Source organism: Homo sapiens, chromosome 8, assembly GCF_000001405.40.
Source record: "Homo sapiens chromosome 8, GRCh38.p14 Primary Assembly".
Lineage (NCBI taxonomy): Eukaryota > Metazoa > Chordata > Mammalia > Primates > Hominidae > Homo > Homo sapiens.
In genome coordinates, this window is record NC_000008.11 from 101,968,602 (window position 1) to 101,984,307 (window position 15,706).

The 15,706-nt window shown below is 41.8% G+C and overlaps 1 protein-coding gene across 16 annotated transcripts in view; it reads right to left on the bottom strand.

Moving 5' to 3' along the window:
* NCALD (neurocalcin delta) overlaps positions 1-15,706 on the bottom strand; it is a 438,366-nt gene that overhangs the window by 282,060 nt on the left and 140,600 nt on the right. For 3 of the 16 annotated variants that reach the window (XM_047422318.1, XM_047422311.1, XM_047422306.1), the window contains exon 1: positions 6,659-6,759. The exons of the other annotated variants lie outside the window; for them this stretch is intronic. The gene's annotated coding sequence lies outside the window, so the exon portion shown is untranslated. Of the gene's footprint in view, positions 1-6,658; positions 6,760-15,706 lie in introns of those variants that run through there. 16 annotated transcript variants of the gene reach the window in all.

Here is a 15,706-nt window from a genome sequence, read left to right on the forward strand (position 1 = left end):
TGCTTGCTGTAATGCCTGCACTGTTATGGCCCAGTACCTGGCACAAGGAAAGGGCTTGTAGTTTCTTTCCCTACTTCCTGTGCCTGCCATCTAGCCACCCTCTTCCCAAAACCCTCCACATCACTCTCCTGTAAAAAAAAAATGCTGGTCCAAACAGCATATGCCTTCTTCACATTGTGTTCTTCAAATTCTATCATAAATTTTTCCCCTCCAAGTAAAATCCCAGCAAAGCCCCACAATGCATACCGAGCAAATTGGTGAATGTGTTCCTGAAAGAGCCTGCCTGAAGCCCCATTGCCTAGTGAAAAATAGTTGCTAGCAAAATGCAATCCAAGCATCTCTGAGGACCCCAGTTGCTTGAGACAGTCCTGAATGAATTGTGATTGGATTCTACTGTATTCACAGGAGGAGAAGCAGGTTGGAGCTTTCATTGGTTCAGCCTTAAACCATCTTGGAATTTGGCAACACAAGCAGTCTCTGCAAGTGAGGAAAGCCCCCAGGGCTGAGCCGAGCACACCACCTGTCTCCATTAAATCTGGTGACATACAGAACCATTTGTTCCTTGCAGTTCTCAGCACAAAGCTACAGTTATTTTTAATTCAAAAAAATACGGTACCATCCAAATGATGTCTCCATTTTTACCTAAGCCAAGCTCTGAAGGCCCAGTCTCACATTAAAGGGAGAAATCTCCTGCCTGTATTAGCTGGTGAATTCACTACTCAGAATGGACCAAGAAATCTGAGTGGGTTTCTATTATTCAAGATTCCATTCTCCTGTTTCTGAACAGCCCTCAGTCTATTACCCCACACTTCGTAATGATGATACTGTTACTTCAACATAATTTTTAGCTTTTCAAAGCCCTTCAACATTTATTTCATTTGACTAGAAGAAACTCTAAAAAACACATAGTTTGGGAGAGAGTATTATGTTAATTATCATATCTTTTAATGAAGACATAAGTAAAACCCAGGTCATCTGATTCTCAGACGGGGCCAATGGCTATGAGAGCCCAGGGTGGCTTCTGCCTGGCAAAAAAAGACACACCTCAGAAGGGCTTTTTAATTTCTTCCAGCATGAAACTTCGTCTTGGTAACTACTACCAGATAATGGATGACATTTCATTACATTTTGTGATACATCTAGAATTTCCCATATTGAATCATATGAAATAACTAATGTTTGGCTGTTTTTGACTTACAAAAACAATTTCATATGATTTGACCTAATACTTTACAACTTTCAGCCTTCTGCAGGCCAGACAGGCCCAAGCTCTTAGATTGATTTCAGGCCTGAAAAATGTAGAAAGTAGAAATAAATCTAAGTGTGTGTGTGTGTGCACACACATGTGTTTACAGATAATAGAGCATACATCATTTAGCTTAGCCATTTAGGTACAACCCTCAAAGTGCTCTCAGAGTAATACTACAAATAATAATAATGAAGAGAAGGAGAAGAAAGATGAGGAAAAGCCGCTCCATGAACATTAAGTAACTTACCTGTAACTTTCCAATCACTGATTTATCTCTGTAGTAACTTAGCTATCACAGATCATTTCTTAGCCCAAGTCCCTACTTATTTCAGTTTCTACTCTCCAGATTCTTAGAATGTAGCAAATAACCTCTTTAATGCCTTCTACTTTTTAATAAGGAAATATGGAGATTTTGTTCATGTATTTACATTGCTTCTGCTGGTTTCTACTTTTTCTTCCAACCTCTTTTCACCCATAATGATCTTTTAATTGCATTGTGTATTATTGCATTGTAATAGTGCTATAATAACAAAATATTTCCTTGCAAATTTTCCATCAATGGTACTGCCTGCCCCCTCCTGGAAGGCAGATTTCTACCATCAAAAGAGTCTGAATTTTTTGTAGAATTTTTGTGGCCCCAACCCAAAAAGCTCTATCTACTCCAAAAAATTGTTTTGGTTGTACAGGCTAACTATTTTCTAGCAGTATATTACTCTACACAGTTGTTAAGTTTCAGGGCTCAAAGCCTAACATGTGGTTTAACAGAAACTAGGCTGCTCCTAGGAAAGCATATGACAGAATTCTGCTTCTATCATTGTTGTAACAGAATTTTTTGAACTCAGAAAACCCCCATAAACCCACTAAGTTGCATCAACTGTGTTTGCTACAATGCTGTTCAAATCTGCCCCCTCACCCAATGCCAAAAATCTTTCCCTTGAGGTGTCCTAAAGATGTTGCCACAGTTTAAATATGGTTTTTCTGCTCCAATACTCAGGCTGAAATTTGATTATTGTTGTGGCAATGCTGCAAGGTAGGGCCTAATAGGAGGTATTTGGGTCATGGGGACAGGTCTCTTATGAGTATATTAATGCCATCTTACAGGAGGGAGTTCACTCTTGAAAGACTGGATTAGTTGTTATAAAGTGAGGTCCCTCCCTGTGTTTGCCTCCTTGCACATGCCCGTCTGCCTTTCTGCTTCTGCCATGTCTTGATGCAGCAGATGGCCCTCATCAGAAGCCAAAAAAATGCTGGAACCATACCCTGGGACTTTCCAGACATCAGAATCATGAGCTAACTAAACCTCTTTTCTTTATGAATTGTCCAGCCTCAGATACTCTGTTACAGCCACACAGAATGGACTAAGACAGATATGAAGCACGAGATGTCAGTGTGTATCGTGGTCTTCAGCTTGACTCCTCCTGTCTGCAGCATCATTCCTTCTCTCAGACAGTAAAGGTTACATGGTTGATATAGATTGGCTCTGTGTCCAAACCCAAATCTCATCTCAAATTGTAATCCCCATAATCCCCATGTGTCAAGGGCAGGACCTGGTGGGAGGTGATTGGATCATGGGGGCAGTTTCCCCCATTCTGTTCTCATGATAGTGAGTTCTCATGAGATCTGATGGTTTTATAAGGGGCTCTTCCCACTTTGCTCATTTGCTCTCTCTTGTCTGCTGCCATGTAAGACATGCCTTTGCTTCTCTCTCATCTTCCACCATGACTGGAAGTTTCCTGAGGCCTCCCTGGCAACGTGGAACTGTGAGTCAATTAAACCTCTTTCCTTTATAAATTTCCCAGCCTCAGGTATGTCTTTATAGCTGTGTGAGAATGGACTAATACAGTGATGGTCCAAAGTGGTACCAACTGGTTGCACAGAGGGCATCAACACAAAGTCATGCCTTCTGTTGATGGCTGACATGGCTTAATAAAAGACCCTGAGACCCCAGAAACACTGACCTGGCCTCTTGACTCTATTTTTATTTACCTGGCTGCCCACCTAACCCCAGTTATCCTCCCCTTTCCCTTCATCTTATGCCTGCCACATATGAGAAATCTGGAAAAGACATGAGAAAATATGTAATGACTTGTAGAAAGTCATGCCATCTTCTGCAGCTGGGAGGTTGGGCTCTTAGATTCATCTTGGGTTGGAAGAGAATTGGACCTGAACAGCCTTTCCATGTATTCTCACAAAACCTCTCACAGGAATCCACGGATTCACTAGAGGTATGTGAGGAGGAGGAGGATGTTGATGAGGATGAAAACTGACATGCATATTTAAACTTCTACCTCTAGAAAGCACTGGCAAAAAGTAAAGGCACAAGTCAAGAACACGGAAAAAAATCAAGTACTTCCAATGACATTGGCACCAGGACTTCTGGAAAAGCAGTGAGGAGACAGGGCTTTGAATAGAGCCCAAGCTTTGTGGTCAGGCACAGTTGGACTCTGGACGGGCCACTCATAGGCTATACCACTATGCACATCTCAGCTTCCTTGTCTCTAACTGGGACAAAAATAGCTATTTTAATATGTTGTTGTGGGGATTAAATGAGATAACCCATCTGCTACTCCAGAAAAGTGTAACTATTTTTTCCCTCTGTTCCCTTTATTTTTGTTAGGATGGCCTTGATGAGAATAACATGGCTCAGAACCCACTTTTCAACCTGAAGATAATTTCTGCAGGAACAATGATGTTTGAAAGCTTACCATGAAATCTGCCACTCAGTGAATTCAACTTCTTTCTAGAAGGTTCATTACTAAGGGCATTTTTGAGTATCCTCAGTGCCTGGCACTGAATTGGAAGTTACTTTTTCCCAACCTAAATACATAGTTTAGAAGTAGTTCAATGTCCATCGTGGGGAAAACATATAGTTAATATTGAGATAAAGCCTTGAAAGATGAGTAAACCCTTCTCTCCCTGATGGGCAATGCTCCAGTTGGTGCAATTCAGCTGTCCTGAGCTAGGCCACACTGAAAGATTATGATCCCAGAGTTCCCCAGAACTGCATAGGGTAAGCTGGATCTGGACTGAGGATCGGCTCACAACAAACAGTTTGTTCATTTGCAGTGGGAAGAGACAGTTGTCACTTTAAGAGGAATTGGATGAGCCAGGGTGAAACAAAGAGCCCCTAAAGTGCTCCATGAAAAAATTAATGGGGATGGGGGATATTGAGAGTTGCCCCAAAGCAGGAGTGGTATGAGGAAGAGAAGGGCAGTGATATGGATGGGGCAGGAGGCCAGGGCCAGCACTCTAACAAGGAAAGCAAGGGGGAAAATTTGCAGAAAGAAATTTTCTGTTCCAGGTATGAGAACAGAGGACCACACTTTGTTCAGATTTCCTTAGTGTTTACTTAATATCCTTTTTCCATCCCAGGATCCCATCTAGGATACCACATTACATTTATCATTATGTCTCCATAGGCTCCTCTTGGCTGTGACTGTTTCTCAGACTTGCCTCGCTTTTGATGACCTTGAGAGTTTTGGAAAGTCCTGCTAAGGCATATCATAGGACGGCCCTCTGTTGCAAGCTGTCTGATGTTTTTCTATACTTAGACTGAGGTTAGGGGTTTGAATGAAATAGACTTCAGAGGCAAAGTGCCATTTTCATCATGTCATATCAAAGGTGCATATTCCCCAGGATAATTTTTAAAAGAAAACTAATATTTAACCCTAAACTATCTATGTGCTACTGTCCCCCAACTGGTATCCACAAAGAACTAGGAATGTCCACTGCACACAAATGCCATGTATGAGAATTGTTTGGGGTAAACCAAGGAGAAGAAGCTGGTGGTGGGTTCACACAGAAAACAGAGGGGAAGAGCCACAGGTGAGACAGATGTGTGACCAAGAGTTCTGGAGCAACCAGAAATCAGAGCAAGAGTGGACCATGAGACCACAAGCTTCTAACGTTGCAGAGCACCTAGGATAGAGTTCAAGTCCTTTTTATATATCAAAGAATCAGGCAACCCCAGGTAACATCTGAGTTACAAATTCTTCTGCACTTCACGTATTTATTGAACAGCTACTATGAGTCACGCACTGTACCAGGTGCTGAGAGCTGGGGAAAGACATAAAGATGAATCAAATGCTTTTCCTTCTCTAAAGACCCTTAAGGAAATATAAACGCTACCAGCCTGATAATCCTTCTAGTCTTGCACTTGTTCCATTCTTTCATCAGTTTATTATCTTCACAAGATCCCAGGGTCACACAAGAGCTATGTTAACAAGTGGCCAGGGGCAAGAACTTTAGCTCTCCCTGCCCTCAATAATCCTCCCCCAAAGCCAGTCCAAATTTTATTTAAAAGTATTCCTTGATATAATTAATTTCCACTTTACCAATTTCCCATTTTATCAATTTTCATTTCATTGAAAGTAATGGCAAAACCCGCAATTACTTTTGCACCAACCTAATATAAATAAAAGCATATTTGGAAGACTTTTTAAATTTTATGATCTTTGATATATAAACTAAGAAAAGCTGTGTGTTTCCTTTGCAAATTTACCTTCATGAAAAGTCCCTGTCCCATTCTCTATCCCCAGCTAAAAGATTACTGCCCCAAACCCCCTTCTATGTGGAAATTCTGGAGCCACCCCATGTGACATAGGGAGGCAGTATATTATCATGGCCCTTTGACAAGAAAATACAAGCACAGAAAGGACAGGCACTTGCTCAAGCATGTGGGATGTCATGTAAGCCAAGTACACAACAGGGATCAGAACAACTTGGATCCTGCCTGCTGAAGCCGCTCCCTTAAAAAATATATAATAGCCTAAATGCTTACATGACTAGCTCTGACACATAAGCTGATACAAGCAAACATACAATGAAACTTTCTGCAATTTTTGTGTGTGTTCAAAACAGCAATAAAAGATACTAAAATAACTAACAACATGCCGACAAGGGGTAACTGCTATTCTAGAAATTATACATACATTCAGGGTAGAAAGATCTATGGGAAAACACCTTAGTTATGCCAGAAAGGACAGGAAATGGAAAAATAGCACCTCTGGGCATAAGCCAGTACTAATATTTTGAAATGAAACAAAATATGCCCCATCTATGTAAGCACTAAATACAGATACTACATATACTGAATCAACGCAATTGACACATATACAAAACACCATAGAACATTTGAGCAAGACAGAACCTTAGGTCATCTCAACCAGAGGTTTTTCAATGCTTCTTAAGTCTTAGAACCTTATGTACAAATGAAATATTATAAAGATAAACATTACATTGGTTGGGTGAATTGGCCCAGTGACCCCTTTGGCTCTAAGGGGATCAAATAAACTCTGTTTGAAAACCACTTCTCTAATCCAATCTCCTTATTTTACAGGACTATTTGAAAATATGCCAAGAGTAAGAAAAAATTGTGTGTACTGGTGCAGTGAGGGGTGTTTTACTCACAGCTTTATTTCTTCGTGTTCCAGAAGTTTGCCATAGCTGCAAAGGCAGTGCTTCTCAAACTTCAGTGTGTATAGGAATCACCTGGAGAGCTGTTGAACTATGGCTCTCTAAGCCCCACCCCCGGAGATGCTGATTTAGAAGGTTGGGGTGTGGTCATGGATTTGCATGTCTAATCAGCTCCCAGGTGCTACTGCTGGGGCCTCACTGTGAGTGTCACTGTACTTAAGAAAAGCCTACAGAAACGGCCTTGCTCTATTGGAAAATGGAGGCACCAAAAATAACCCTTGTAAGGCTCCTGTGTCCAACACACCAAGGTGCTTGCAACTACTAGCATTTGTTCAGGTGACTGAATTTGTGAGACCTCTACGATTTAAGGTTAGCTGCTGCAAGTGAGCAGCAACTTACATTGGCAATATCACTTCTCCTCCTTGGGACAGTGCAGAGGTTCACCTTCCAAAGCTCTCACATAAATGTCCTTATTTTAATATGGGATTTTCACACTTTCCAGGCTTTCTGTTCCTCTGGTGGGCTTCTGTGGAGAGTATGCAAGCTGTGTTTTCTATCTTCTTTTTTACCTTATATCTTCTCTTTGTATTTCACCTTCACTCTCCAACCTATTCTACCCTGCTCTGGGCCTTGTACAATTGACCCTTATGGACCAAAGCAATGGTTCCCTTATGTCTTGACTGCTGGTTGGGTTGTACTCATAGAAGGCATTGGCAGGAGATTGGGAGGTGGAAGAAAAGTATGCACTCCCCCAGCTTCCTCCCGCCAAGATGCCGTGGGTTCGCTATACTCCATTACCATTTTCACAGCTCCTTTTAAGTGGCCAACTCTTTACAGCTCTTCTCTGTGGGTTCTGGTAACTCTCCAGGCCTTACCCTTCAGGACTAGAGGGAGTAAAGGCTCTCAGCTGTAGCTAGCCCTGGGTGCTGCACTATCTCTAAATGATTTCTATAAACCCTGCCCTCACTTTCACAAGTCACCCCTTTGTTAAATTCTCCTCAAATTACCCATTTGAGAGTGCCTGCCACCTCCTGTTGTGACCTTGGCTGGTACACAAGCAATGTCTCTTTGAATGTTCTCCTGAGGGACCTGGGATTGGGGACCCCCCGACTAATAACGACCTACTCTCCCTGTGCTAACTTCAATTTAGCAAAACTTCCCTCCCCTTCCCTCACTCACACAGGGATGAAAAGATAAAATAATTTATTTGACCTCAATTTACACTTTTGGAAACTCCAATGTTCATATCCAGGCTAGTTGTAGCATTTGATGTATGCAATAGCTTAAATACCCAAAGGAATATACAAAATAAATTGTACACATAGATTCTTTTAGATTTTATTTGAAGCTTTTTTTATGGTTTGCCAAGTATTTTAAAGGCTGATTCTTTCATTAGGAGAATGCCTGTCATTGAATAAACATTATCTATTATTCAACAATATAAACTAAGCTCCTACTATGTGTCAGGCACTTGGTCAGACCCAGTGTATACCCAGGTGCACAGTCTACCCCCCTGCCCTCATGGACATTACAGTCTAGCAAAGAAGGGAAATACTTAAAAATGAATCACAAAGTTTATTCTTAAATTACTACTGTGGTAAGTGCTATGAAGGAGAAACACAGACACTATGAGAGCATCCAAGGCAAAGGGGCAGGAGTGAGGAAAGAGGAAGTGGGGGCCAGGGACAGTGCCAGGAAGTTAGGGAGGGCCCCTGACCATGCCTAGGAAATAGCAGGCTTACGTGGAGATACTTCATCTCACCATGATCTTTTCTGAATCTTCTCCTGATATAAATTTAAATTTAAAGAGAAACAAAGACATTAAAAATGTGAGTTCTTTGGCAAAGAAAAATGGTTATTTCTCCTTTCCATCTTTTCATTACCTCTCTCTCAGCAGGTAATGAAAAGATGGAAAGGAGAAATAACCATTTGCCCAGCATGAAGCATTACCCAGAATTTTTTTTTACAGTGAAAAAAAAAAGAAAAATATTGTGGTTATTACATGTGTTTTCGCACTAGGAGAACAAGTCTCCATTTTCTATTTTTGTCCTAAACTATATTTATTCAACATTCACACTCTATGTTTGGATACCTCTGCTGAAAAGTTAAAAGTATTCTAAGAGAATTGGGAGATTTTTTTCCATCCCTTAGGACATTTTTGTGGGAATTTTTGTTGTTAAGTTCCCCGAAGAAATTTTCTAAGTACTCAAATTGCTAAAAGGCATTTAAAAATGAACTAATTTTCAAATTAGCTGAATGTTCAAGCAGCAAACTTGTTATTAACATGGGGCTTGGCCCCTTAGACACTTCCTGCTCTTACTCTGTTTCAAGCAGACATCCCATTAAAGGCCACACAGTTGTGAACACTCAAGGACAACTCCACCATCCGTCCTTCCAGGTGCACCCACTCTGCCCTGAGCATTTCTGGGGGCTGCAATCCTTAGACAGCTCTCAACCAGACTCTGGCACCAGCACAGACAGGTATCTGCCCTTCCATTTTGTTGACAAATTCCTCCTTTATGACACACACAGCGATCCTTTCAGAGTGTTTAGATTTTTATCCTAGCTCAGACAGGCCACTGGGCATATTACTTACTTTCATGAAGGCCCTGATACTTAAGATGGTCTTCAATTATTTAAAGGCTGAAAGAACTCTAGGTAAGTCACGGTACATAGAGCAGGAAATGAGCAAGCCCAGGGGCTTTGTCTCCTCTCCTCTTCCTTCTCTCCGCCCTCAGTGCCCCCTCCCCAACAAGCCCCTTGTCCCCTCTCAGCAGCTTCTTTTTTAAGGTAGATGTGCCTCGTCCATACAGCAACCAGTGACCCGAATATAAATATTGTGCCCACCCCCGAGAAGTGCATATGCCTGCTTGTCAGTCACACTACGCAGGCTGATTTTTCAAGTTAAAAAAATATGATTACTGTACTTATGTATCCCAACTATGTTTACCTCTTTTTTCCCCTTTGCTAATTTAAACAGAACCTTTTATCCTTTAGTTAAGCAAATGGCAATTAAGAGCACTTGTATCATAATCAAGGTCGAACTATTTCCACATCCTTCATCCAGGCTCCCAGAGATTATCACCATCCTCACTCTCATTACTGACACGGATTAAGGGTCAGATCCTGTCCTAAGTGCTTTACATAAATTGTATTTCATTTTATCTTCCTATGAATTCTGCAAGGTGAAGACTATTATTCTCCACATTATACAACTGAGGAAACTGAAGCACTAAGAAAGTAAGTTACCTGGGTAATAAATGGAAGACCTGGGAGGTCAGCCCAGATCTGCCTGATTCTACAGCCCAGTCTCTACACCATGATGATATTTGTCAAAATGGAACTCAACCCTTCAACTGAAGCATGCATAATGTGTGCAGGTGGTGGTGGTGGTGGTGGTGAGGACACTGTTTTTATAGTAGCCTCTAACATGCATGAGGGGGCAGGCAGACTGCTTGTCTTATTCACCATGGATCCTCATCACTTAGCACAAGGGCTTGGCACAAAGTAGGAGATCAACAAATGTGTGCTGAGGAGAGGGAGGAAGAAAGCAAGAAACGAAGAAAGGAAGGCAGGCAAGCTCTCCAAAGGAAAACAGTGTTTGATAAAAATCAGTGTTGGGTAAAAAGCAGATAGCAATACATAACTGTCTGAAGCTCAATTCCTGGATCTGAATGCTATGGCCCTTTAAGAAACAAGGAAGCAGTTTTTCAGTAGTTCAGAGTAATGAACAAGATGGGGAGCAAACTATTAATCAAATGGTAGACTACTCAGATCAATCAGATCAGCCCACATACAAACAGGCAAGAAATGCTCAGAGAGCCAAACCCCAGAGAAGCAGAAGGCAGATTTTCATTCCAGAAGATTCCAAGAGTGGGGCTGGGCAGATGACCACTGGCAGGGGGACACTGGGAGCAACCCCAAAGACTAGTAAGTAATCAGGAGGGCATCTTTCAGGTAGCAGGCATTCTGGAGAAATTTCTTTTTGCTAAAACCTAACAAGGCTCATAAGGCCAGCCCTCAAAGTATGGCGAAGAATGCATTCTACACCAAGAATGACTTATCATTCATTACACTGTTCATTGCATGTCTACCACACTGGATGCTGGGGACAGAGTAATGAACAAAGACAACGTTCCTACTCTTAGGCAGCTTACAACAAATCGGCAAATATGCATGAGAAATATCAGGAAATAAGTGCTATGCAGAGAATAAAAATAGAGTCCTATAGCACTCTTGGAGCTTACAGCAAATCAACAAGTAACCATGAGAAATCTCAGGATGGGAAGAGGCATCTGCAGAGAAACCATGCTACTCACTTTAAAATAACACAGAAGAAAAACAAGAAGTCATTCTGAGTTTTCTCAGTAAAGCCAAAAGCTACAATCTCTTCTTCTTCCTGGAATTTATAGACATAGTTTTCCTTTCAGAATGCTGAAAGAAGTGTGATTGAGTTAGACTGTAACAGCTCAAATCATTATAAAACAGAGCAAGAGCAACAAATAGAAAAAAGTGAAGAAATCCCTATCGACAGTGTTAAGGATGGATTCTGCAAGCCTCGGTCATTCTGGCAACTAACCGACTTTCCCAGCCAGTCTAGATGCCCCAGAGACCCTGTTAGCTTCAAGGAAAGGTGAAAATCAGAAACTCAGCCAGGATAGTCCTTGTGTTACATCAGGGCCTGAGGGGCCTCATGAGCTCACTCACAGGAGGATAGGGTGGTGGTGGTCCTGTGAAGGCTTGGCAGCTCTGAGGGGCAAAAACACAGTGCTGAGCCAAGGCCAAAATGGGGGTGGGGGCAGGGGGCACTGGTTGATTCCACATCAGCCTTGGCATCCCTGGAAGCCATGTACAGTGGCCAGGACAACAAAAGTAGTGCCTACAGCACTCAGACAATGGCCTTGCTCTCTCACCAAAGGGGAAAATATACAACCCCAAAACCCCACTCCCCATCTTCTCCCTGCCCACTCAACAAGGAAAAGTGGAGGTGGGGCGCACATTAGATGCTGTGTCACAGTTATGCCATGTCTTCTGGCACAGGCGGCGTTTTACTGAAGGGGGAGGCATGCACAGTGCAAACCTTTTTTAGCCCCCAAAGAAGAACTATGTCACAGTTAAGCAAGGAGGCCGGATTTATTCTGTGGGCACTGCAGAGGGGCTGCAGGTTTTTAAAAGGGCTAGGATCAGACCCACGCTTCGCAAGAGAAAGACTATTGGCGAAGGGTCTCAGGATACATAGAGAAAACTGAACAAGAAGGCAAAGTATCTGGAAACAGTGAAAAATGAGGAATAGCCAAAAGGACTGGGGAAGAAAAGAAAACTTAGGGGACACAAAATAATCCTTTTCACGTATTTCAAGGGCTCATCTTTGGAAGACGGTTTTACATTTCTCTACAAGGAAAGAATTCAAATAGAAGCTCAAGGGGGCAGGGATAGATTTCACCTGAAGACTAAACAAAAGTACTTTCTGATGACTAATGCTGTGCAAAAATAGAGCAGGTTACCCATGAAAGCAGTGAGTCACTGGCGGTATTCATGTACCATCCAGATTGCATAGCCATGAAGATCCCAGGCCATTTTAAGCCCTATTATTTATTGCTTTTCTTCTGTCATCCCTAAGGCCCTTCTAAGTCTATCCAAGTCCTACTCCTCCTTAAAAACCCAATTCAAGTTCCATCTCCAACTTGCTGCATGCTTTTCCACAACCATCTCTCTCTTTTCCAAATAAAGCACTTATTACCAGTACCAATTATCTGGAAGATAAGTACAGTTTTGTGGCATTATTTCAATTAAACAGTCATTTAATTCTTGTATATCAATCACTTTTCATGGGTTTTATCTCTGCAATCAGATTAGCTCCTTGAAGGCAATAACCTCCTCTTATATTTCTCAAACTAGCTTTGCACATAGCAAATGGCCAACCCGTTGGTTTATTACCAGGTTTCCTTAGTGCCTATTCTGAAAAACTACAGGTCTCAGTATAAATTTCTTGTATGCATACCTACAAGAAACCTTGTGGGTTCCTTCAGATGTCCTATCTTGATTATTTCATTTCCTGATTATAGCCAGTTATATTTTAGTTTTATTGAGTTAAATATTTCTTCCAATTAAAATAGTATTCTTCCACAATGTATTTTTAGAGAAGGGGAAAAAAGATTAAAACTTTTAATTAAAAACATTTTATAACCTTTCTTTCCATCACAAAATAAAAGGAATGGTTCAGCAGCAGAATGTCATCCAGAAAACCAGCTGCTTATGAAAGGATTAATTTTTCTCATGGCTGAATTAAACAAGTGCAATTAACAGTACTGATTTATTCTCCTGCCCAAAGGTTACTTTTGTGAATATTTGAATTCAAGACCAATGACAAATTAAAGTGACCTTCAAATTAAATGGCCATAAGGAACTTCTCAGCTCCTGTGAATCTTTTTATGGCTACATCTGCTGAACCTGGCTTTTTAAGGAACTATAACCTATTTATGTGAACATTTCTTTTTCTAAACAGTCTTCAGTGTATATGAATTCCAAGTCTCAAAGGGTAGTTCACGTCCTTATTTTGGGAGAAGGAGCCAGATTCATTCTGATATGAACGTTTTGTCCCCTACCAATCTCATGCTGAAATGTCAATGTTGGAAGTGGGGTCTTCTGGGTGGTGTTTGGGTCATGGGGATGGATCCCTATGAATGGCTTGGTTCCCTCCTTGTGATAATGAGTGAGTTCTCCCGCTGAGTTCACGTGAGATCTGATTGTTGGAAAAAGTGTGGCACCTCCTCTGTCTCTTTCTTGCTCCCACTCTCATCATATGATGTGCTTGCTCCCCCTGTACCGTCCACCATCATTGTAAGCTTCCTGAGGCCTCATCAGAAGCCAAGCAGATGCTGGTGCCATGCTTGTACACCCTTCAGAAATGTGAGTCAAATAAACCTCTTTTCTTTATAAATTACCCAGTCTCAGGTATTCCCTTATAGCAACACAAAAACAGACTAACACACATTCTAAGCCAAAGAAATTGAAACTAGCTTAAGACACTGCTTTTAAGCAGGTGCCATGAGCTTGTCATATACCAACTCCTTTTGGATATTAGGAATTAAGGCAGACTGAATGGGAAGTAACTATAAACTATAAGTTTTACAGTTTACAAAGCACTTTATAACTATAAACTAACTATAAACTATAAAATACTATGAACCTACCTTGTATGTTGAAAGCCACTGTGCAAGAAGTTAGGCTTCTCATAAAAAAAGGGTATAGCCTTGAAAATTCCTATGATTTCTCATACATAAAAAATTCCATAGCTGGGCATGGTGGCTCATGCCTGTAATCCCAGCACTTTGAGAGGCCGAGGCTGGTGGATCAGGAGGTCAGGAGATCGAGACGATCCTGGCTAACATGGTGAAACTCCGTCTCCACCAAAAATACAAAAAAATTAGCTGGGTGTGGTGGCACACGCCTGTAGTCCCAGCTACTTGGGAGACTGAGGCAGGAGAATTGCTTGAACCCGGGAGGCAGAGGCTGTAGTGAGCCGTGATCACACCACTGCACTCCAGCCTGGGCGACAGAGCGAGACCCCATCTCAAAAAAAAAAAAAAAAATCCTTATACCATTGTCATGTAACATATGTTCTGTGACCTTGAATAAATTAGCATACACTGGAAACTGTGAAGGGTTTAGCAGACACATGCTCTTCCCTTCCATCTTGGGCAGCTTCAGCACCAAAAGGCAGCCTAAACCCACTGAGTATGCAGAGTCTAAACAATTCCATTTTTAAAGAAGAAATAAGCCACAGTGTGACTAGACCCCCAAGCGGCTACATTCTACCAGATACATATGCTTCTGAGATACAGGCTGAATGAGTCTCAGAACTGTCCTCCCTTTTGAGCACATTTATCACAGAAGTTCATCTACCTTTGGGGTTCTGTCCCTCTGCTACCAGGTAGTGAGGGCTGCTGTCACCTAATTGATGGGCATGTTTTCTCTTCTTCCCCACCCCTGGCTCATCTCAGGGGCTCTGCCGAGGGCTTATTTTCTGTTACAGAACTAAGATTTCCTTTTCTTTAGGAAAGGTTATTTCTAAATACCTTAGCCCTCCCCTGTTCCCTAACCCCAGGACTCCGTCCCTATGCCATGGCCTGAAGCAAGCCAGAAATATGAAGTTTCAAATTCTCTTTGTCCCAGAGCTAATGATATTTTGGGATGAATTTTATGCAATCTGAATTTTCACCCTTTTCTTAGTAGAGAGAAACTTATGTTAAATTCACCCATGCAACTTAGGCCTCCATGATGAGCTTGTCTTTGTGAAACAAACATTAACTAACCGAAACTGTAGGGTTGTGTGTATGTGTTGTGATGGATACTTTCCGCTGGCTCCTTCAAATCCACTCCCTACCCTTCTCCACACTGCTCTGTACCCCAGAAGGCTGAATTTTATGGAACGTAGCAATGGGCCTTCTGGCCTTTCTGGGCTTTGGTTGAGGTTTGCCAATGGAACTCCTTGGCAGGTGATCAGAAAGAAGAGGAACTGATGGGTTTACTCTTCCCACCATCTTCCTGGTGGGTGGATGTGCTCCTCTGTGAAAGGCACAGCCCCATGTCCAGTGGCACCTCCCACATCTGAGTTTGGTGCCCTACCCAGTCCCCTCCAGGCTTAGGGATTACAGTGGCTTCCCAGGGTGCTTTCGTCATCCTTTGTTAGTTTCTTTTAACCATGCTGACACTTTTGTAAATAGGTCTCTCCTGAATCACCTGCTCGAATATGCTATGTTTCCTGCCTGGACCCTGTGACATTATTTTCAGTCTAGCAATCTTCAGAAATGTCTCCACCTGAGGTTTCCACAAACCATGAGCACCTAAGGAACAGGATGTTTATAAAAATGGCTCACTCCTTATTACTTGGACAGTTCTCTGTTTCTAACTCTTTAACCTTCCTAAAGATTTTAATGCCAAAAACATCCTGTATTCAATTAAAATATTATATACCACAATTCCAGGTACTGCATCCAATGGAAAGAGCTCCTGCTTTCAAGACTAATTGTATAGACATAG